General features: G+C 40.6%; 2 long non-coding RNA genes across 3 annotated transcripts in view, besides 1 other annotated feature; one reads left to right on the forward strand and one right to left on the reverse strand.

The window, feature by feature from the left end:
• Positions 1–24149, reverse strand: part of LOC105369715 (uncharacterized) — a 182759-nt gene that overhangs the window by 4063 nt on the left and 154547 nt on the right. The gene's annotated exons all lie outside the window — the stretch shown is intronic.
• Positions 697–17763, forward strand: LOC105369716 (uncharacterized). The gene is made up of 3 exons (XR_931477.2): positions 697–862; positions 3771–3915; positions 17650–17763. It is a non-coding gene; the product is annotated as an uncharacterized LOC105369716 (long non-coding RNA).
• Positions 12065–12691: an enhancer, noted in NCBI's record as "OCT4-NANOG hESC enhancer chr12:30037798-30038424 (GRCh37/hg19 assembly coordinates)". NCBI's record gives its function as "activates a minimal SCP1, AML or CMV promoter by ChIP-STARR-seq in primed H9 embryonic stem cells {active_cell/tissue: H9 hESC(primed)}" and the evidence as "EXISTENCE:reporter gene assay evidence [ECO:0000049][PMID:30033119]".

Consider the following 24149-nt stretch of genomic DNA (forward strand, 5'->3'; position numbering starts at 1 on the left):
TATCAGGATCCGACTTACATTTTAACAGGCACACCCTGCTGCTGTGAGAAGAGTACTTTTCTCTTATCTAGGCTTTGGACTCCCCAGAAAGAAAATCTGAGTCTAGAAAATTTTAAAAACCCAATTGTTTCAGATTCTTAATGATGTCTGCCACAACACACCCTTTATTTAAAAATATTTACTGATCACTTACTATAAGCGAGGCATTGTGGGAAACTATTTTTTAATGTAGCAGGAGAAAGAAGCGAAAACCACCATTAATTGAGGGCCTTTAGTGCGTCTGCCAGGTAGGGCACCAGGTGCGTGACCGCTGTCATCACAGAATCTTTGCCCTCCTAGAGCTTTGGGTTAGCAGGGGATATAATGTGCACCGAAAACAATGGAGACTCTGTGAAAAGGACTCTGGAGCTTACAGATGAAGTGCCAATGGTTTTGTGAATTGGAACATGTCACATCTGAGGGGATGCTCTGTTTGCTCTTAAAGCAAGAGCAGAAGCACAGATGCAGTGAATCCCAGGGACTAGCAGGAAGTGAACGGTGGTGGGGAGCACAGAGGAGACGAACATGGCGGGCACAGGGGACCTATGAGAAGGGAGAGGAGGGGAAGACAGGAGGCCAGGGGAGTTGGCTTGATCTAGATCCTAAAGAAGTCCTACAGCCTTAGAAATGGGCACAGGAGCCATTGAAGACGTCTAAGAAGGGGACTCCATGGCCAAACCGTAGGAATCTGCAGGCGGGGGAGTCAGATGCTCCTAGATAATAGAACAGCAGAAGAACGATGGAGACGCTGCCTATAGGGAACTCTAGTCTGAAATGACTTCATGTTGATAGGAAGCATTTCTTGCTAACTTCTAAGCATAAGGTAACTTTCAAGTTTCACCTGAGTATTGCAACTTTTGCTTAGGGAAGGAGAGCCAAATGGGAATTTTTACATTGCCATTAAGACTCTGATTAGGGGAAAATTCCTTGGGGCAGACGATTACGTCAGCATAGTTTTTTGATTTATATTTTAAATAGTGCAAGTATTCCCAGAGGCCTGGTGACAGACAGAAATTCTATAAATATATTAAACTCAAACAATCTGCACACAGCTGCCAGCCTGAAGACTCCCACCCTCTTCCAGATTTAACCAATTTTTAAAGGCAATTACTTTTGGAAATTTTAAACATGCAGCTAATCAGTCTAAGGAAAAACAGAGTTTACTCCAATACTATTGCCAAGGAGCGTTTCCCCCTACACTTGTTTCTTTAGCATTAGAGTCTGGGGGCCCTGTTTACATCAAAAGCTCTTTGGAGGAAAACACACAGCTCAGGTAAGGTATAGACCAATAGGGCGGTGCAGTGGAATATAAATAGAGGTGGTGTGAGGTCTGCAGCCAGGGAGACCCAGGTACAAAGCCAAATCCCAACACTATCCCTTCCCAGTAATGTGGCCTTTGCCAAGTTACTTAGCTTCTGCTGTGAGAGGCAGAGTCATGCTTAAGGTCATGGCCTCCGTACCCAGATAAAGGGTTAAAACTCTTCCTTTGCTATTTCCTTGCTGTGTGGCCTTAAGAAAGTTATATAACCTCTATGTGCTTCAGTTTCCTTAACTGTAAAGTAATAATAGTATCTACTTCATAGGGTTGTTTGGAGATTAAATGACTCGAGTTCTGTAAAGTGTTTAAATTACTGCCTTGCAAGTCGAAAACTGCTTGCTCTTTTATTATTACTAAATAAAAAGGATATAATAACTCACAGGGCACTTCTACCAATTAAATGAGATCTTGAGAAAGATAGTATATCACTGTTTAGATGTTTATGTGGCTGGAATCCATAGTAATAAAATCAAATGCGACTTGCAAATGATTTTATTTTTAAGACTCATATGAGTAAAGGTTATTAGTGACTATAGGGAAGATAGTGAACAAATTATATTGTGTGAAAAGAGAAGTGGCTTCGGGTGGAAAATACTGGGTACTCTTTTCGACTTTGCTACTTGCTCTGGCTGTGAGAATGTGAGGAAGTCCTCTCTGAATCTCCATCTTAAAATAGAAATTAGGCTGTACACCTAAGCACAAGATTTCTACAATGATCTAATGTAATAATATATGTGAAAATTGGAGAGTGCTAACTTAAAGGCATCATTTTCGTAATAATAAGTATTATTAAAGATAATATTGTACCATTATTAAACTCCCAGGGCCTGATGTAGGTGCTCTTAGATACATCTGAGCTTTTGGGATAAATGATACTTGGCAAACATTTATCATATATAGAAAGCAATTTTCCAAATGAGAGATACTTTCTCTTTTCGCTGGCTACTGGCCATGTCATGTCTACAGAGAACTCTATTAAGAATGCACAGCTAATGTGAATAGTGCCTAAGAAAATAAATGCATTGTAGGTAGGAAAGTACTGCCACATCCAAGGCCAAAATGAAATGCAGCAAAAAGTCAGAATTGCTGTCTTATACCCTAATAAACTCATAAGGTTAATTTGCACATCTTGTTTTTTAAGCTACTGACAACATTGTGAGTCACACTTAGCAGTTACCATTAGGCCTGGGATTTAGAGGTACGGAGTTGAGACATAAAGGGATTGAGCTCAGTATAGCTGAATCTTTTCCACTGATGGCCCAAGAGAGAGATTCTTTTCATTATTAGCAAGTGCATGAAGGTATGGAAGAAGCACACTAAAGTTCAGAACTAGAATTTCAAATGACATATCTCAATTAGAGAAAATGCAGAGACAAAATTAGCATCCTCTCAGCAAGTTTCCCTGAAATCTGGGAAACTAGAGGGAGAAGAGGTAAAAGAGTCCACAAATGTAAGATGGATAGATCCTGGGGTCCTAGAGACAAGCAGCTGAGTAAGAGAGCACCATTCAGTTTAAGAACAAAAAAAAAACATCACAGAGCAGAGATTATAGGGCCAACCATTTCCCTGGTCATGAATAGGTTCGTTCCGCAACACTCTGTGCAAATTCTGTACTTCACAAATAAGGAGAGAGGTTGGAAACATGATTATAGGGGTTGAGAATTAAATTTGTGACAGAAAGATTAAAAGGAGTACTGGGATTCAGTCTAAAGTAGAGAGCAATGGAAAATAATGGGAAATTAATATTCTTCATATAAAGAGCTTTCATTCTAAGAATATGCCTGGAGGTTTTCTTTGGGAAAATCCTGAAAGGAAATGGTTTAAAGTTGTTTTGTTTTTTTAAATGAAGTTCAACTAGTTATATAATAAGGAAGGATGTAAATGTGACATAGTAAACAACAAACGTTTATCAAGTTCCTAAAATGTGATGAGTCTCTGATTCCTGTCTTCAAGGTCCTCACCATCTGTCCAGGGAGGTGGTGAGTACCGTGTGGACGGTGTTGGGTGAGGGAATGAATGAACTGGTATGGAAAGAAAAGGGGAACATACCTAACCTAGGAAAGGTGCTACCTTAGTCAAATTTTGAAGGTTGTGTAAGGCAAGGCAAGGCATTTAAGGAAGAAGAAATGGCAAAAGAGCTTGAGGTGACATGGGGTGCTTGTAAAATTAAAATATAGCTCAAAAGTATAGGCATACAGAATACAAGACAGGACCAAAAGTTAAAGTGGTCTCATTTATTGAGTTTTGATTTGTACGACATGCAATTTTCTTTTGTACACCATTTTGGTCAATCCTATAATAACTCTTGCAGCGTGGTTTTGTTAATCAAGGTTTTTAATGCAGGGTTAATAATATATAGGCCCTCAATTCTCATTGGTTTAGCACAATAGAGATATATTTTTCATCTCACAAGGTCCAATGTGGGTCATGCAGCCTGTGACACCCAGAACATGTGGACTCCAAGCACTTCTGCTCACAATCTATGGGGTAGAACATCACATATTCCCAACTTCACTGCAAGAGAGGAAGGAAGATGAAGAGAAGCACATGTGCATTTGGTGAGCACTAATGATCTTTGTTCTGGGTAGGAACTTGTATTAGTTATTTATTGGTGCATAACAGTATTACCACAACCTTAATGGCTTAAAAAAAACACATTTTTATTATCTCGCTTTCAGTGGGTCTGGATTCCAGGCACAGCTTATCTGGATTCTCTGTTTTCAAGTCTCAGAAGGCTGCAATCAATGTGTTGGCTGGGGCTGCAGTCTCATGTGAGGCTTGATTGGGGCAGGATCTGTTTCCAAGTTTATGTGGTTGTTGTCAGCATTCAGTTCCTAAGGTTGTAAGACTGAGGTCCTCAGTTTCTTGCTGGCTGTCCACTGGAGGTCCCCATTAGTTTCTTATGTCATGGTGGGCCTTCCCAACATGGCAGCTTCGCTTTTCAAAGGGAGCAAAGGATAGTCTCCCAGAAGACTGATGTTGCAATGTTATATAACAATGGAAGCAATAACTCATCATCTTTGCTATATTCTATTGGTTAGAAACAAGTTACACATCTTGCTGACACTCAAGAGGAGTATATTTCACAAGGTTGGGAGTATCAAGAGGTGAAAACAATTTGGAGCAGTCTTAGAGTCTGCTCATGATCATAGTACTATTATTATATCCCTATTTATCAGAAAAGGATATTGAGGCACAGGAAGATGAAATGATTTGTCCAAAACCTCACAACAAGTAAGGAGTAGAGCTGGAATTGTATTTCATTTTATTGTAAAACCCATATTTTAAACCATTACACTGTACTACCAGACTATGAAGAGTTTTCTGTTGTCATAAGAAGGTTGGATTTTTGTTTCCCATAGATGATGGAAAATAACAGAATCAGATTTTCATTTTAAATAGATCAATTGACTCTCAAGATTGCATTTGAAAAGGTAAGACTAAAGGCAAGAGCCAATTTAGGAGATTCTCACCAGAGTTCAGATGAGAGATGATGAGATCTTCAAGTGGAACACTAATATAAGGGATGGAGTGGAGGAGGCATCGTCGCAAAAATATTGAGGATGTGGGTAAAATTTGCAGGACTTGTTGATTCAGCGTTGGTGGTGAGGAAGAGAGACTATTCAAGGGTGAATCCTCAAATACTGACAGGTTCAATCATGATTTTCCCTCTCTTCTTTTACCACACTTCTCCTCATCCACTATACTCCAATTTTATCTTGTCTTATTCCTATTTCTAGGACACATTAAGCTTATTCTACTTCATGGCTTTTGCACTTGCTGGTCTCACTCCCTAGATCACTCTCTTTCCCTAAATCTCATGGCTAGCTGCTCCTTCTCTCTTAGGCTTCACCGTTCTCTCCACCAAATCACTGTTTTATTTTCTGCATAGCATGTATCATTAGCTAAAGCTATCTTGATATTTTATTATTGGTTTTTCTTTCCTTGCTAGTAACATAAACCCTTTGAACACAGGGGACTCCTTTGTGTTGTTCATCTTTGTAAGCCCAGGACCAAGAACAATGCCTGACATGTAGTAAGGACTCAGTGCACTAGAATGAATAAATAATTGCTTGACCAGGAGCAAATGGAGAGGAAACGTATTGAGGCATCTTAGAGGTCAAACAGCAGGCAAAGCAGGATGAGGTGTAAAAGATCTGAGAGAATAAAATGTTGTAGAGCAAGGGGGACTCCTAGAATGAAAAGTTTTAGAGAAAAATATCTGGAAAATAGTAATGGATAAGTTGTGACCACAGGAATTGATGGCAGATACAGAATAGAGGTGAATGTCACTAGAATGGGAGAGACCAAGGGACTGTGGGGCCAGGCTACTGACTCAGAGCTCTTCATGAAAGGCAATATGTTATGGCAGAAGAGGGGACCCAACAGGACTATGAGCATGGTATGGTCTTTGCTGATTGAAAGGGAAGCATCTGGACCTGATTGATGGGGAAAAGAACAAAGCTGATTGGGTAGGATTGCAATTGTTCTAAATGGGAGTTGATTTTTGATGATGGTAGAAATTCCAAATGGTCTTAACAACATGAGGTAGGCTCTGTTGCTATCCCTGTTTACAGGTGAGGAAAGTGAAGAGTAGATGAAGGAGTAAAGCAATTTGCTCTAGGCCAGACAATCTGAATCCAGGGTCTACATTTTAAATCATTATATAACTTAACCTTGGGAGCTGATCTCAGTTCAGAACTCATGACCCTTGACTCACATCCCAGATTTACTTCGGAAAGTTAAAAAAAAAAATTGTATAGTTTAGAGAGTAACAAGGCTAACCCACTCTTTTATAGTTCATTCATTTATCCCCAAATATCTATTAAGCTCCTACTCTGTATCAGGTAATGTGCTTATCATTTTATATTTAATATCCTTTTAAATAGTCTCAATCACCATATTAGGGCATTGTTAAGAAGTATTATTTATTTAAAAATTATACACTTATATAAATATATATAAAATTTATTTAAAAATGATTTTAGTATCTCCTACAGTGCTTGGTATAAAGTGACTCCTCCATAGATTCCAGTGAATTTACTTGACTTTAACATGTTTACAACAAGAGTGGTTGAACTGAAGGATGGTACCAGCACAGGTACTCAGTCTATGGCCTTTGTTCACGTAGCACTTTCTTCCGTAATTCTAAAAATTTTCTACCTGAGCACCACCTATGAAGGAGCTGCAAAATTCATTTAAATAGAGCCAAAAGTGATAGTTCAGCAGCTTCTGGTCCAAAAAATTTACATTTCTCCACCTATCAAATTATAGAGGGAGAGATGCCAAACTTTTATAGATTTTTAGTTCCATCAAATTAGTTTATTTTCTCTCTGCTTGCCAACCACAAAGTAAATTCTCTATCCCAATGAAAGCTTTATTGTTACAGGTATCATCCAGTCCCTAAAGACATCCTGAAATCATTCTGATCTCAGCAATTCCTGTTCTCTGCATACCCTTTTCAGACTGATCTTGTGAACACACTTCACTATTATTATTGCCTTGAGCATCTGTAACACTTTCTGGGATATGTATGAGATCACGCAGATCACTGAGGCACAAAGCTTCCAAAGTCAATGATGATGTAGTTCAGTTCTAGCATATCAACAACAGAGCCTGGTTCCCAGTAGGAATGTAATGCAGCCTCTTGACTTGCCTTTTCTTTATCTCATCCTTCTCTGTGAGATAGGATAGAAATGCAAATAGAGGTGAGTGTTCCCAGCTTTTCTCTCCACCAAATAAATTCAATTCTCTTTCTGCTACTGCTCATTTCTTTCCCCTCCCTCTCCTCTTGAGAATTCACTGACTGGTCCTATGATTTGTTGTGAGGCAGAATTAGGAAAATGGGTTGGAGGCTAAATGTCCCATCCCTATGAAACACTAGTGAAAAGTAATATGGAATTTTCTTTCCCAGACGCTCTTCTGTAGGGGGCAGCTGGCACTTGGAGAGTATGCAGGGGTGTGATGACAATGACGCGCTTGGGGTGGAGGTTGGGAAAGGGAAGAAAAACAGATGGCTGGAAAGTAGAGAAAATGGAGGAAAGGAGGTGAGTGACAGGCCCTGGGAGATGCAGGGTGTTAAAAAATATGAGAGGAAGAGAATTTTAGCAACAGTTGCCTTTGAATTTTGTCTTCTTCAAGAAATGTGAATATCAGGTTTGAATTCCTATCAGACTCTCCTTTGAATGTGATCCATTTTGAAGGGCCCACGTGGCCCATAGTTATAATGAGTGATGCACACAACAGGCATTTGTGAAACGTGCCTGGTGATCCCAAATATTATTATGCAGCACAGAAGATAAAAGTAAATAAATCACGGTAACAGAGACACGTATAGTTTAGCTAAGGGATAAAATGACAATATTTGTACATCAGTTTATAGCTGAAGAAAGTGTTCATTATTTTAAATTATTTTGGTGGAGGGCTATGTAGGACTGGTTATTTATACATTATCTCCATTTTATTTTATTTTTTCAATAAAGCATGCTTACATTTGCCTTATTTTATTTTATTGAGACAGAGTCTCACTCTGTCACCCAGGTTGAAGTGCAGTGGCAGGATTGCGGCTCACTGCAACCTCTGCCTCCTGAGTAAAAGCAATTCTCCTGCTTCAGCCTCCCAAGTAGCTGGGATTACAGGCATGAGCTACCATGTCCAGCTAATTTTTGTATTTTTAGTAGAGACAGAGTTTCGCCATGTTGGCCAGGCTGGTCTTGAACTTCTGGCCTCAATTGATCCACCCGCTTCAGCCTCTCAAAGTGCTGGGATTACAGGTGTGAGTCACTGCACCCAGCCTATCTCTATTTTTTTATTATTATTATAGGTTCAGGGGGTACATGTGCATGTGTGTTACATGGATATATTCTGCAATGGTAAGGATTGGATTTCTAGTATACTCACCACTCAAATACTTAATGTTGTACCCAATAGATAATTTTTCAACTCTCCTCCTCGTCCCACCTTCCCCCTTTTGGAGTCCCTAATGTCAATTTTTTTCCCTCTATATGTCCACGTGTACCCATTGTTTAGCTCCCACAGAACATGTGGTATTTGATTTTCTGTCTCTGAGTTATTTCACTTAGGATAATGGCCTCCAGCTCCAACCATGTTGCTGCAAAATACATGATTTTGTTCTTTTTAAAGGCTGAGTAGTATTTCATGTTGTATACATACCACATTTTCTCTATCCAGTCATCTATCGATGGACACTTATGTTGGTTCCCTGACTTTGCTATTGTGAAAGTACTGCAATAAACATATGGGTGCAGGTGTCTTTTTGGTACAGTAATTTTTCTTTCCCTTGAGTTATCTCTATTTTAGAGGTAAGGGATCTGAAGGTCAGAGAAGGCTTGACCGTGGCTTTCATCTAGTAAGTAGCAGAGTTAGAACTACAGCCCATTTGGGGAGCACCAAAGCTTGTCCTCTTTCTGCTTTCTCATACTATCTCTGAACTGAGAGGGAAAAATGGAACACTAGACAGAAACCTTCAAGCAGAGGTCCAAATTACGATGTATAAGTTGGGTTTTTTAAGATTACAAGAAGCAGAGGTACCCAGGTTACCTCTGTGATAAGGGTTTGTGATTCAGGGTTATGTCAATTGGCATGAATTGTCATCTCCTTCTTGGCTGTGCAATCACTCCTGGTCCCACCTACCTCATACTTGGCTAGAGAGGCCTCAAGGAGAAGAACAACATCTCTACACGCTTTGGAATACACCTTCCATCCCTGCATACTGTGGGAACTCCTTCTTCATATGAAAGATAATCTGATTGAGTCAGTCTTTTACCATTCCATATGAAAGCCCTTGATGCCAAGATTTCAGCCAGAGTCCAGTGGAGGTTTTTGGTCTCTTTCATGCCCAATCTTACCCATGAGTGATGCTGGCTTAGGCAACAGTCCTGGGTCAATCAGTGGTGACCAAGGTAGCAGAGCTGGTTATACTCTCTGAATATGGCTCAAGATGTAGTAACTCAGTGCACCGAGAACCTCTAGAGCTGTTTTCCTTCAGAAGAGAGCTTGGAGTATGTCATGCAGGTGGCTTCATGAACATTTTGCTAGGGGCTGGACCAATGGGGTACAATGAAGGAAAGACTGACTCAAAGGCTGATGACACCCAGGAGCCCTGCCATAGTGCTGTACTTTAAGAAATAATGAATGCATTATCCTTAGTGTTTACCTAGTCACAATAGAATCTCACTACTTCATGTTCTCTTATATTTTTGTCTTCCAAGCAACACTTATTTGAGTCATTATTCCCACTCTTCTGTCCCTCTGCTTTGCAACTCACAATGTATTGATGCAGATTCAATTTAATAATGGAAGAGCAATATTTATGCCATCTAATTTTAAATGATTATGGATGCAGCTGAAAAGCAGCAAACATTATAAATACATCACTTACCATTAAAAGGTGGCAAATGTCCCTGAAAGAAAAATATTTAGAAACTGCCACTACTTGCTTCACCAGTGTGTTATTTTATTTCCTATATTTTAAGTTTATAAGAAAAAACACAAGCAATCTTGTCTGTACCTCAAAGTTTGATTGCTTCCAAAATAAAAATATGTTTTTAAAAAGTAATACAGCACAAACAAATGAACAGTCACTATTACATTCAGAGTAATTTAATATAATTCAATTCAATTCAATACCACTGTTGTAAAGGAGGATTAAAGTCTCGACAGCTGCACTTGAAGTATAGCAATTAATGTAGTTGGAATTCAGGAATTTAAAAACTATCCCATTACATTTTGTTAAATCAAAGGATCTAAAAAACAGTTGTTGAATCATTATTGGATTAACAGAGGATTGTTGATGTTACATCATTTAAATCATAGGTCTTAATCCCTATAATAAAGTCAAGCATTACAGTGTTTGCAAAGCAGAAAAAAATCCCAGGAGTCGGGAGATCCATTTCAGCAACACTTCCCTGCTGTTGAGTTGGCACCAACTCACAGCAGTCTATGGAATGTGTTGATAATGTGTTTGGCCAGGGACGTCAGGGTTATTGGGGCTAGACTTATGGGCACAAAGTGATGGATAACCCCTGGACTGTGATTTGAGGGATTCTGGAAAGAGTATCTTGATCAAAATAATACCATCTGCCCTATGTCAGGATGTCCAAAATCCAGCCATTGGGGTTATAGTCCTTTGGGTCTTATGGTTTTTCTACACTTTCTGACATTTCTGTTGCCAAAGAGACCTGTTGATTCTTTCAAGATCCAAGCCTTGCAATTCTGGCCATTGTCACTACATAGATGGTCATTCAGCTAAGCATAGTAAAGCAGTGATTTCAGGATGGATAACCCAGAGATGTGATGAAGTTTAACAATCCAGACAGTTAAGCCTTTTCCATAATCATATGATATTTAAAAAAAGACTTACTAGCTAAATTCAAGTGCTACCACATTTAGCAAGATTTAAATGAATAACATGATACCTCTTTACATTAAAATTTCTTATCAATTGCAATTTGACTTATGCTTGGTTTCCAAATTTATGGTAACATTTTTCTTCAGATTGCACAGTTCTGAAGTTGTATTTCTGAACCAAATTTTATGTAATTGCTTTTCTTGGCAGAGGGAGATTTTTTTTCCTGGCTCCACTTAGGCTCAGAACTCATTCCCCTCTGGCACCTTCTACTTCTTTTCACAGGCTTAATGGTAAAGCTCCAAGGTGTCCCCTCTTTCTCTGTCCCTTTGACTTCTCTTGCCATGATTAACTGAAGAAAACCACCAAGAATTTGTGATAATCATGTATCAGATTTGGCTCTGTAAAAGCTTTGCCTGTTCACCCTCAGGATTCAGCTTGCCATGTGCACCAATTCCTACCGCACCAGTCTGCTCCCAACCCCTTGAGAAAACAGTTGACTGAGATGAGCACAAATCAGTCAAAACATCTGCCTCAAACCTCAGGCCAACTTCATTTTTCACATGTCTTTTGAAAGATTGAAAACAGAGTTTGAAATGAGTACAATGGCAGCATTTTTTTTTTTTTTTGGACACAGTTGTAGGACTTCTGGTAGGAAATCCTGCTTCATTCTGAATCTTCCTTCAGCTCCTCTTAAAAACCACACAGAAAAACACAAGGAATTTTTTAGAGTCACAAAATTTGTTTACAGTGAAATGAGGAGACCGAAAAACCTGCTAACTCCATTTACATGTAAGAGCTGCCAAGAGCAGCTGAAGTCAGCAAAACCCTGCAGGAATCCAGGTGGGAAGCATCAGGGAAGAACGGAAAGCAAGGAAGAGTCAGTCCTGGTACATCTCAGAAATCTCCAGAAAATTACTCCCTCAGAAGGGAAGTGTTCTACCCTGTGTCAGCAAAAAGAGTCAAACTCGGTATTTGAAGGGATTTATTCTGAGCCAAATATGAGTGACCATGGCCCATGACACAGCCCTCAGGAGATCATAAGAACATGTGCCCAAGGTGGTTGGGGCACAGCTTGGTTTTATACATTTGAGGGAGACATGATACTTCAATCAAATACATATAAGAAATACATTGGTTTGGTCCAGAAAGGCAGGACAACTCAAAATGGGGACTTTTAGCTTATAGGTAGATTTTTAAATTTTGTGGGTGACAATTGGTGAGTTTCTCTAGAGACCTGGTATCAGGGGAACCTGCCCCTGATAATTCAATGTTATTTCACGTAGGTTCTTTTCTCTTTCCCTAAGTGTCGGCCGGTCTGAGAAATAAAGGGAAAGAGTACAAAAGAGAGAAATTTTAAAGCTGGGTATCCAGGGGAGACATCACATGTTGGCAGGTTCTCTGTTGCCCCCTGAGCCGCAAAACCAGCAAGCTTTTATTAGCAATTTTCAAAGGGGAGGGAGTGTACGAATAGGGTGTGGGTCACAGAGATCACATGCTTTAAGGGCAACAAAAGATCACAAGGCAGAAGGTCAGGGCGAGATCACATGGTCAGGGAGAAACTAGAATCACTAATGAACTTCCACGTCCTGCTGTGCAGGCATTGTCATTGATAAATATCTTAACAGGGTTGAAGAGCAGAGAACTGGTCTGACTAGAATTCACCAGGCTGGAATTTCCTAATCCTAGCAAGCCTGGGGGCAGTGCAGGTGGCCAGGGGGTGTTTCATCCCTATCTACATCTGCAAAATGCAGACACTCCCAGGGTGGCCATTTTAGAGGCACCGCCCTGGGAATGCATTCTTTTCCCAGGGCTGTTAATTATTAATATTCCTTACTGGGGAAAGAATTCAGCGATATTTCTCCTACCCGTTTTCAGTAATAAGAGAAATAAGGCTCTGTCCTGCCCGGCCCACAGGCAGCCACACTCTAAGGTTAACTCCCTTGTTCCCTGAAAATCGCTGTTATCCTGTTCTTAAGGTGCCCAGATTTCATATCGTTCAAACACACATGCTCTACAAACAATTTGTGCAGTTAATGCCATCATCACAGGGTCCTGAGGTGACATACATCCTCAGCTTACGAAGATGACGGGATTAAGAGATTAAAGTAAAGACAGGTATAGGAAATCACAAGAGTATTGATTGGGGAAGTGATAAATGTCCATGAAATCTTCACAATTTATGTTCAGAGACTGCAGTAAAGACAGGCATAAGAAATTATAAAAGTATTAATTTGGGGAACTAATAAATGTCCATGAAATCTTCACAATTTATGTTCTTCTGCCATGGCTTCAGCCAGTCCCTCTGTTTGGGGTCCCTGACTTCCCCCAACAACCTGGGATCAATAGAAAGGAATGTCTGGGTTAAGATAAAAGATTGTGGAGACCTAGGTTCTTATTTGCAGAGGAATCCTTTAAGTACAAGGCTTCAGAGAGAATTTATTGTAATATTTTTTTATCAGACTTAAGGTCTGTGTTGATGTAAATGCCAGAGAGGTATAATGAGGCATGTTCGACCCCCACTTCCTGTCATGGCCTGAAACAGTCTCTCAGTTGGTAACCTTTAGAAGAGCCCTGTCTGCGCCTGGGCACAGTGGCTCACACCTGTAATCCCAGCATTTTGGGAGACTGAGGTGGGTGGATCACTTGAGCTCAGGAATTTGGAACCAGCCTGGCCAACATGGCAAAATCCCCATCTGTACTAAAAATACAAAAATGAGCTGGGCATGGTGGCACACGCCTGTAGTCCCAGCTACTCGGGAGATTGTGGCAAGAGAATTGCTTGAACCCGGGAGGCAGAGGTTGCAGTGAACTGAGATCAGGCCATTGCACTTGAGCCTAGTTAACAGAGTGAGACTCTGTCTCAAAAACAAACAAACAAACAAACAAACAAAACCCTGTCTGAGAAAGAAGTCCATTCAGATGGTTGGGGGGCCTTGAAATTTTATTTTTGGTTTACACTTGCAAGGAAACTGCTACAATAGGTGTTAGATCAAAGAAGTTACAAGTACTGGGAAAGCACGAGAATAAAAATATGGAAGGTTCTTCGGGGATCCAGAGTTGGCATAGTTCAGAAAGCATCAGCAAAATACATACTCTAAAAGTGTGGGGATTGCCTTAGAAGGCAAGCTCTGTCCCTCGGTTGCAGTAACTAGTGAAGGAACTAGAGGAGTGTAGGGCTGGTTGGAGAGGCTATCTTGAACTTCATTAAGTTCAGAGAGTCACAGAAATGTGGCTACACAACTGTATCATCTCTAAAGGAAACAGTTCTCCACTAGCCTAACAGAGGAGGTAGAGCTCTTGAGTTGCTAAACTAGGAAAGCTACTCTGGCACTTCCTCCTCCTCCTCTAACCCTCCACTTCTAACCTCTTGCAGACAGCTGATTCCTGACAATACAACAATAATTAATTTTTTAAAAGGAAATGTATAGTACTTATTGCCAAACACTCTAAGAACATTTGTGGGAAAGAACAGCAAGACCTTTTGATAGACATAAGTTTTTAGGAAAAGGTGCCATAGAGCAGACAATTAACCAATTTTTCATTAATTAAAAAATGAATAAATCCCAAATATGAACACCAAGATAGACAAACTCAGGGAAGAGAGGAACAGAAAACAGAAGGTGATGGCAGACCTCAGGACATAAACCAAGGGAAAAAATTACAGGCATACAAAGTATATTAGAAAGAGCACAAGGGAGATTTGACACTATTGAGACCACATTAAAGGACATAGAGGGTAGAAATAAGAAAAAAATAAAATAATGAGAAATAAAGTGATATGATAGACAAATAAGAGCTATAGTATTACAACTCTATATATGCTATAAAGCATAGCTTTATGCTAAAAAACATAGCTCACATATGCTTAATTGGAATTCCAAAGAAGAAAACCAAAAGAAAGCAACAGAATGAATATTTTCACTTAGAATTAAAGCATACTCAGGGCACACTAAGCAAGAGTTGGCCCAGAACCATCAACACTGAGTCACACCTAGGTAAGGTTGCTATCTTGAAATATGCAGCACAAATCCCTTTTGGAACCCTTTAAAGATGCAGAAAGGCACAAGGGTGAATAAACTCACTTTTAAAAGAAAGAAAATCAGGATGGCTTCAGACTTCTCCACAGAAACATTCAATACCAAAAGATAGCGAAGAACCAGCTACAGTGTACACAAGAAAAGAAAGTGAGTCAAATATTTTACATTCAGCCAAACCTTACTTTAAGTAAGAAGGGACATAATTTTTTTGTTTTGCTTTGATCTCATGTTTTAGAGAATTGGATTAATCAATCTGAGTTCTTTCTATACTCACATCAATGTTCAATGCCCCATCTTATTTTATGGGTGTGTGTATGCATGTGTATGTGTATATCTGTAATTATGTATTATGAATGTAGTTTGCCTATATGTTTCTACATTAGTATTTGGGTAGCATCTGTGTAATAATGTGTCCAGAATTGGTGGATTCTTGGTCTCGCTGACCTCAAGAGTGAAGCCGCAGACCCTCGCGGTGAGTGTTACAGTTCTTACAGATGGTGTGTCTGGGGTTTGTTTCTTCAGATGTTCAGATGTGTCCAGAGTTTCTTCCTTCCGGTGGGTTCATGACTTGCTGACTTCAGGAGTGAAGCTGCAGACTTTTGCAGTGAGTGTTACAATGCTTAAAGACAGTTCGTCTGGAGTTGCTCATTCCTTCCAGGGGGGTTTGTGGTCTCGCTGGCTTCAGGAGTGAAGCTGTAGACCACCTAGGTGAGTGTTACAGCTCACAGAGGAAGCACAGACCCAAAGAGCGAGCAACAGCAAAACGTATTGCAAGCAAAAGATCAAAGCTTCCACGGCATGGAAGGAAACCCAAAGGGTTACTGCTGTTGGCACGGCTGGCCTGCTTTTATTCCCTTAACTTGCCCCACCCACATCCTGCTGATTGGTCCATTTTACAGAGAGCCAATTGGTCCATTTTATAGAGAGCTGATTGGTCTGTTTTACAGAGAGCTGATTGGTCTGCTTTGACAGAGTGCTGATTGGTGCATTTACAAACCTTTAGCTGGACACAAGAGTGCTGATTAGTGCGTTTATAATCCTTTAGCTAGCACAGAGTGCTGATTGGTGCATTTATAATCCTTTAGCTAGACAGAAAAGTTCTCCAAGTCCCCACCAGTCCCAGAAGTCCAGCCGGCTTCACCTCTCACTGACACTTGCCGGACTTTGCGGCACCTAGCCCAGGCACTTTGGCAGCCCAGAGGGAGCTCCTCACAGACAAACAAGAGGAAAAGAGGGGAAGGGAGAAAGAGATGGAGACCCGCCATCGTGGCCAACGGCCCCGTGAAGAGGGAACAGTGGTCCACACATGGGGCCCAGCAGGCACCAGCAGGCTGTGCCCAGTGCGGGGTCCACCAAGCCCATAGCCCACCCGGAACCCCCCCCAGCCCACCAGCGCTGTGCGCAGCCTGGGCTCCCGCCCGCGCCTCTCTCTCCACACCTCCCAGTGAGCAGAGGGAGCCGGCTCCAGCCTGGGTCAGCCCCAGAGAGGGATCCCGACAGCGCAGCGGCGGGCTGAAGGGCTCCTCCAGCGCGGCCAGAGTGGACGCAGAAGCCGAGGAGGTGCCAAGAGCAAGGGAGGGCTGCTACCACGTTGTCACCTCTCAATAACATGATAAACTCATGGCCCCAACTACTAGAACCAGAATATTATACTAACATGCCTACCCACGGGCCCCTCCATCATGCCCTATCTCTCTGCCTCCCTACATCAGAGGTCAGCGCCAACCTCAATCATGTGTATGTGCATGTGTGTTCCTAAAATATATAGTTTTTAAAATTTGTTTTAACTTCTTGCAAAAGTTATTTTGCTACATAGGACCTTCTGAAACTTCAAATCTACTACTGCATCCATTACAAGAAACACAATTATTTTATATATCATCACAATAGTTAGAAACCACACCAGTTACTTGAGCAGAGAAATTTTATATAAAACACCAGTACTAGGTATAAGGTTGTTATCCACTGAAAGGGCAAAAAGAGAACTCTAAGGTATCATAGAAGAAGGAGCTATCATCCCCTATGGCTTAGAAAACAAAGGAAACTAAGGGATAAACTTAGAAAAGGGCCCCTGTGGGGCTGAAACTCAGATGTCTGAGGAGGCACTGCCCAATTGCTGCTGGTGCCTGACCCCAGAGGAGGGGCCTTCCTAAGGCTGGGACCCAGGCCTCTGAGGTGGAGTGTTACCACACTGGTTCTGTAAATAATGGAAGAATTACAAGCTGATTCAGCTGCTGCTGTGGGAATGAACTGCCACTGCTGCTGTGAAGAAAGATTGGCAGGGATGGAGGTCACAGGAACAGGAAGAGCAAATCCTTCTTCCTTCTCTAGCAAGGCAGTCTCCTCTGGCGCCCCCTATTGACGAAAGTCTTCATGGAGTCAGTTGGCAAAGCACACATCTGAATTTGCAGTCTCCTGCCTGCAGTCTCATGCGTTACATCAAACAGCCGATTATGGAAGGTGAATTTGGAGCTGAGAGGCAATCTCTTAATAAGTGGCACAACCAGTAATAAAGAAAAAAGTCCTTACAAGTCAGCTCAGAATTCTAAGATGCTATAAGAAAAACTGCACGTTAGAAGAGATGAAACATGGAACATTGCTGATTGGTTCATATTGTTGAGTTTAGCTGTAGATCATTCATTTTGATGCTATATAAAATTTCATTATGGGAGTATAGCTTAATTTATTCATTCTTTTGTTGAAAAGCTTTTAGATAATCTCCAGCTTTTGCCACTGTAACAATGTTGTTATGAATATTCTTGTTCATGTCTTCTGATAAATTTGTTAAGATTTTCTCTTGAATATAAATGTAGGCATGGAATTGCTGGCTAATAGGGTTTGTAAATGTTCAATATTAAAATATGTTACCAAACTATTTTCCACAGCGGCTGTACCAATTTACATGGCAACCTGCGATTGATAGATCCTATTGATGACATTCTCTCCAGGACATGGTATTACCAGATGGCTTTGAATATGTAAGAGCTCAGTGAAGCATTGCTCACAGGAAGGTGAGATCTAATGGAAAAGTTATTCATTTTGAAGAAACGACAAGAGGACACACTCCAGCCAATACATACATGACTGACTGGGAAAATTTTGGCAAAGGACTGGTGGCGAGAGGTCCAGTTTCATGTATCTGATTGCCTACATGACATCTTCCTTTGGATGTCTGACAAACGCATCACATACTTAGGGTGTTTTGATGGTGAAACCCCATCTCTACTAAAAATACAAAAATTAGCTGGGCGTGGTGGCGTGCACTTGTAGTCCCAGCTACTCGGGAGGTTGAGGCAGGAGAATCGCTTGAACCTGGGAGGCGGAGGTTGCAGTGAGCCAAGATCGTGCCACTGCACTCCAGCCTGGTGTCAGAGCGAGACTCTGTCTCAAAAATAAATAAATACATTAATTAATTTTAAAAAAAAGATGAACTCCTGAGAGTCTCACCAAACCTGTTCCTCTGGTTGTCTTCCCTATCTCAGTTAATGCCAATTTCATCTAGTTGCTAAGATGAAAATCCTTGAAGTCACCTTGCTTCTTTTTTTTATTATTATTATCCAAATTATCCGTAAGTAAAATCTTTTGGATTTACTTTCAAAATGAGTCACGAATCCAGTCACTTCTGATGAACTTCACAACACTGCCACACTGGTTCAAGCTACCATCATTCCCTCCTGGATTATGACAGCCTCTTAACTATTCTCCCTGATTCTGTCTTTGCCTCCCTTCAGTGTTTTTCTATGTCTTAGCAACTGCAAGGATCCTTTAAAAATGTAAGCCAGATCATATTACTCCTCTGCTCAAAATTCTCAAATGGATTCCTAACTTAGTACAAATGTGAATACACTTATAATCTTTTTTTTTTTTTTTTTTTTGAGACAGAGTCTTGCTCTGTCACCAGGCTGGGCTGCAGTGGCATGATCTCTGTTCACTGCAACCTCTGCCTCCCGGGTTCAAGTGATTCTCCTGCCTCAGCCTCCCAAGTACCTGGGACTACAGGTGCGCACCACCACGCTTGGCTAATTTTTGTATTTTTAGTAAAGACGGGGTTTCACCATATTGGCCAGGCCGGTCTCAAACTCCTGACCTCGTGATCCACCTACCTTGGCCTCCCAAAGTGCTGGGATTACAGGCGTGAGCCTCCGCGTCTGGCCATATAATCTTAAAATACATCTTTACAATCCTCTACAAGGTTCATGTAAGGTGGTACCCCATGAGCTTTCAACCTCACCTCCTACTACTTCGCTCCTTGCTGTTTTTCAAATGAGCCAGATATGATCCTGCTTAGGGCCTTTGCACTGGTTGTTCACCCTCCCTAAAATACTCTTTTCTCAGCTGTCTGCACAGTGCAGTCTCTCTTCAAGTCTTATTTAAATGTCATGTTCTCAATGGGTTTTTCTGCTTTCCCTGATTAAAATTACAAACCGCCTACTCGGCATTTGCTATTCTATGCTTTAGTGTTCTCCAGGGTATTTATTACCATCTAATACACAAGTAGCAGGTATCATTAAATATAAGAAACCATCAGTTACAAAAAACACTATAATTTTATGTCCTAGGAAATTAATTAAAAATTGGTGCCAATAAGACTTACATATTGCATTCTTATCACTTCAACATTATTTTATATTTATTGAAAGAGCTATTTTAGACAACATTGATTTTTATTATGTATCACTGTTGTGCAAACCCAACAGAAAAATATCAGCAGAACAAGTTGCTTAAATTGTTTAAGATATTACTAAAATTCCATCACATTTGGAATTCAGCTGTTTTAGATCATGGGACTGGTATTAATTGACTTGGGTGTTTTTCCACGTAGCCCCGTGCTTTGTGCCATCAAGAGCTTTGGTGATGGTGCATTTCTCAAGAGCACTCTACTGTTGTCTCCAGGATCTTCTCCCAAACTGCTGACTTCATTCTACAAGTTCTGATACACATGCTCAGGCAATAGCAACTATGTCCTACAGCTGACAGCCAGACTGACAACTGGCTAACAGCATCATAAGGCATGTATACATCTCTGAGATCTTAAAACGTGCAAATATGTGGATCTTAAAATAAATTAATCATAGCATTTGAGTTGCTTGTTTGTTGCCTGTCTCTCTAGATGAGCATGTAAGCTTGAAAATGGCAGGACTTTTGTTTGTTTTGTTTACTGCTATAATCTCAGCACCTAGCACAATACTTGGCACGTAGTTGTTAATTTCTTCTGCTATGCCAAGAATCATTAAATTAGAATAATGAATCATGCTTTCTGTTAGGTTCCACAAAACACCTGTGAGGTTGTGTTGAATGGATAGATGAATGAATGAATGAATGAATCCTCCCTACCCTGAACTATTCTTTCTTTTTAAAATTGTCAAAAACTTAGGACTTGTTCTTTAGACCACTGTGAGGCTCTTATTCTGAATTAGATATTTGCCATTCATGCTTTTTATAGTTGATAACAAGAGTAGGAAAATGGGTGGATTAAATACTATACTCTGAAATTGTACATCTTTAGTAATACTGTATCTGAGAACGCACTATTGCTTAAAAAGTGAATCAAAAACATTTATAAATAGAAACTGTCAATCGTCAGAGCTGGGAAAAAGATAAACATTGCTCAGATGAATAACTGGAAATTTTATTATGTCAGCATAAAAAAAAACCAAATTGACTTGGTGTAATGTCCGCTGATTTTGTTTTATTGTCAAACTGTCACCTACTCAAATGCCACATATTCTACAAACAGAATAGGGAGACAATTTTTATTAATTTGATTCATTTATTTAGAGATGAATTCTCACTATGTTACCCAGGCTGGACTCAAACTCCAGGGCTGAAGTGATCCCCCCAACTCACCTTCCCCAGTAGCTAGGACTACAGGCCTGTGCTACCATGCTAGGCCAGGAGACAAGTTCTAGCTTGGTTCCTTCATTTGCTGCCTTTAACATCTTGGTATATTTAATTAGCATTTGTTGGGAACCCACAGATACATGATGCATGCAAAATTACAGAAAAAAAGAAACAGAGAAGAGATAAGGACAGCATGCCTAGAGGGAAGATCATTTCAAATTCATTATTTAAGTCTAGATACTGAGACCAGCTCTTTCTGCACATTGTATATGGGAGCTAATCCAGTACATAGGAAACTTAAAATGTAAAAACTTACTTTTCTAGTGTAATCACACAAAACTTATAGTTATTATTTTCATTTTTAGCTAAATTAACATTTAAAAAGTTTTTTGGCAATTATATTATAGCTTTTAGCTGAATTTGCAGGGTTTGACTGAAATTTGGAACCACACATATTCTGTTGATTCCTATTGTATCAGTGAGCAGAGTTGAGATAAGAGAATAGGGATCTTCTACAGGAATCAAAGCAATTTGAGTGATGACTCTTTACTTTTCATCACTCTCAATATTTTTGTCATCTGAAATAGTTAATAATAACACAAACGAAAGCCTCTGGAAATTCTAGCATGCTCATCATGCATAAAACTCTTCTATAAATTTACTTTTCAGTGTATTGTCATTGTTATCTTCAAAAACAGTGAGGTGCATAAGGAATGGATGATGAAGTCAATTTCATATGTATGCCCTTTATGGATTTATCACTTTCATGGTTGTGCTCTGTAGCTACTGAGGAAAGTAATCAGAGAGACTCAGAAATCAACAAGTACTAACTACTTAAAGTGTGTGCCCAGCCTAGGGCTAAGTACTGAAGTGGAGGTGATTTGGGGAGAGGAATAAAGTTTGTATGTTTGTGTGTCTCTCTGTGTGTGTGTGTGTGTGTGTCTGTGTGTGTGTGTGTGTGTACACACATATATATCTCTATATATCTTTAAGCTGCTTTACCACTGAATTCCTAGCATCAATGCCTCCATATTCAATATGATAGGTAATTACATAGCATGCCTCATTTTAGAACCCAAAACATATGGAACTTTGGAATTTTTAAAGTTATTATTATTATTTATTTTAAAGATTTTCACATTTTTCCTCATATCCTAATAGCGTGTTCATTTTCACCATTGCATGTTTTTTACTTATACTTTCTCTTCTTTATGTTTCCTTGTTTTACTTTTAAAGTGCAAATAATCAGAATATATCAGATTAAGAAACTTTCCATCTCAAAAAGTCTAAGTCAGTATTTAATGAGTCTGGGATGGATAGCAAGACTGTTGTTAATACAAACTAATTTTTTAAAAAATAGTGGAGTAAGTTTGTCTTAGTCCATTTGGTACTGCTATAACAGAATCCTTGAGGCTAGGTGATTTATAGTGAACAGAAATGTATTGACTCACAGTTCTGAAGGCTGAGAAGTCTAAGATTGAGGTGCTGGCCTCTGGTGAGGGCCTTCTTGCTGCATCTTCCCATGATGGGAGGCATGACATGACAGAAGGGCAAAGAGACGGCAAGAGAGAGCAGAGAGCCAGCAAGAGGAAGCTAGACTTGTCCTTCTACAGGGAATCCACTTCTGTGATAACAGCATTAACTCAATCATGAGGGCAGTGCCCCCATAATCGAAATGCCTCTCAATTGGGTATCAAGTTTCCAATGCACAAGCATTAGGGTGCATATTCAAACCATAGCATTCTGCCTCTGGCCCCCCAAGTTTATATCCTTTTCACATACAAAATATAATCACCCCTTCCCAATAGCCCCAGAGTTTTAACTTGTTCCGGCACCAAGTTCAAAGTCCAGAGCCTCATCTAGATCAGATACAAGTGAGACTCAAGGTATGATTGATTTGTTTTGAGGTAAATTTCCCTCCAATTGCGAGCCTGTGAAATCAAACAAGTTATCTACTTCTAAAATGCAATGGTGGGACAGGACTAAGATGGACATTTCCATTCAAAAAGGGGAGAAATTGGCAAAAAGGAAAGAGTAACCGGTCCCAACTAAGTCCACAACCCAACAGGGTGAATCCTAAGGCTCCAGAATAATTTTCTTCGACTCTATATCCCTATTCCTGAGCACACTGTGGTGAGGGTTGGGTCCCCAAGGCCTCAGGTGGCCCCATCCCCTAGTTTTGCTTGCCTTAGGCCACATAGCAGCTCTCAAGGGTTGGAGTCTGGTGCCTGCAGCTCTCCCAGGCTGGTGTTGCATGCTGGTAGTTCTACAGTTCTGGAATTCTGGAGGCAGCCCTACCCCTGTGGTTCCACTAGGCATTGCTTTGGTGGGGACTCTCTGCAGTGGCTCTGCCCCGTGACAGGTTTCTGCCTAGGTCCCCTGTTGGATACATCCTTTGAAATCTAGGTGGAAGTAGCCATGCCTCCACAGCTTGCACACTCTGAGCACCTGCAGAAATAGCACCATGGGAACACCACCAACGTTTATGGCTTGCACCTTCTGGAGCAGTGGCATGACCTGCACCTGGGCTTGCTTGAATCATCGCTGTGGCAGCTGAGGGGCACTGTGAGGGAATGAAAGGAGCAGAGTTCTAAGGTGCCCCTGGGCAGGGAACCCATGGAAGACATCCTGGGCCCATCCCCATCCCGCCCCACACATACACACACACTCCAAATCATTCTGCCTTCTTAGAGCTCTGAGCCTGTGATGGGAAGGGCTGCCTTGAAGATCTCCAGCTTTCAGGTTATTCGCCTATTGTCTTGATAAATAGCACCTGGCTTCCTTCTAGCCACACAAATCCCTTTATCAAAGGGTCGCTTGGCTGCAACCTGGTGCTCACCCTTGCATGCTTTTTTGTTCTTTACATGGCAAAGCAGAACTTTTTGAAATCTTTATGTTCTGCTTCCCTTTTAAATATAAATTTTGTCTTTAAACCATTTCTCTTTTCTTTCTCTTTATTATATGCAGTTGAAAGAAACCATGCAGCTCCTTCAATATTTTACTTAGACATTTCTCCTACCAGATAGCCTTGTTCATGACTCTTAAATTCTGCCTTCCATAAAGCTCCAGGGAGTGGACACATTTCAGCTAAGTTCTTTGCCACTTTATAAGAAGGATAGCCTTTACTCCAGTTTCTAATACGATATTCCTCATTTCTGGCTGAGACCTCATTAGAATGGCCTTTAGTGTCCATATTTCTACCAACATTCTGATCATGACCACATAGGTGTTGTCTAAGAAGTTCCATACTTTTCCTACAGTTTTCGTCTGAGTCCTCACCAGAATTGCTCTGAACATTCCATTCAAAGCTTTTTACAGTTTGTCCTCCAGATTCTTCCAACCTCTATCCATCATCCAGTTCCAAAGCCACTTCTGTATTTTCAAGTATTTGTTATAGCAACATTGCACTTCTCTGGTACCAATATTCTGTTTCAGTCCATTTTGTGCTGTGGTAACAGGATACCTGAGACTGGGTAATTTATGGTAAACAGAAGTTTATTGGTTCAAGGTTCTGGTGGCTGGGAAGTCCCAGATCCAGGTGCTG

Source organism: Homo sapiens, chromosome 12, assembly GCF_000001405.40.
Source record: "Homo sapiens chromosome 12, GRCh38.p14 Primary Assembly".
In the NCBI taxonomy this organism is placed as follows: Eukaryota; Metazoa; Chordata; class Mammalia; order Primates; family Hominidae; genus Homo; species Homo sapiens.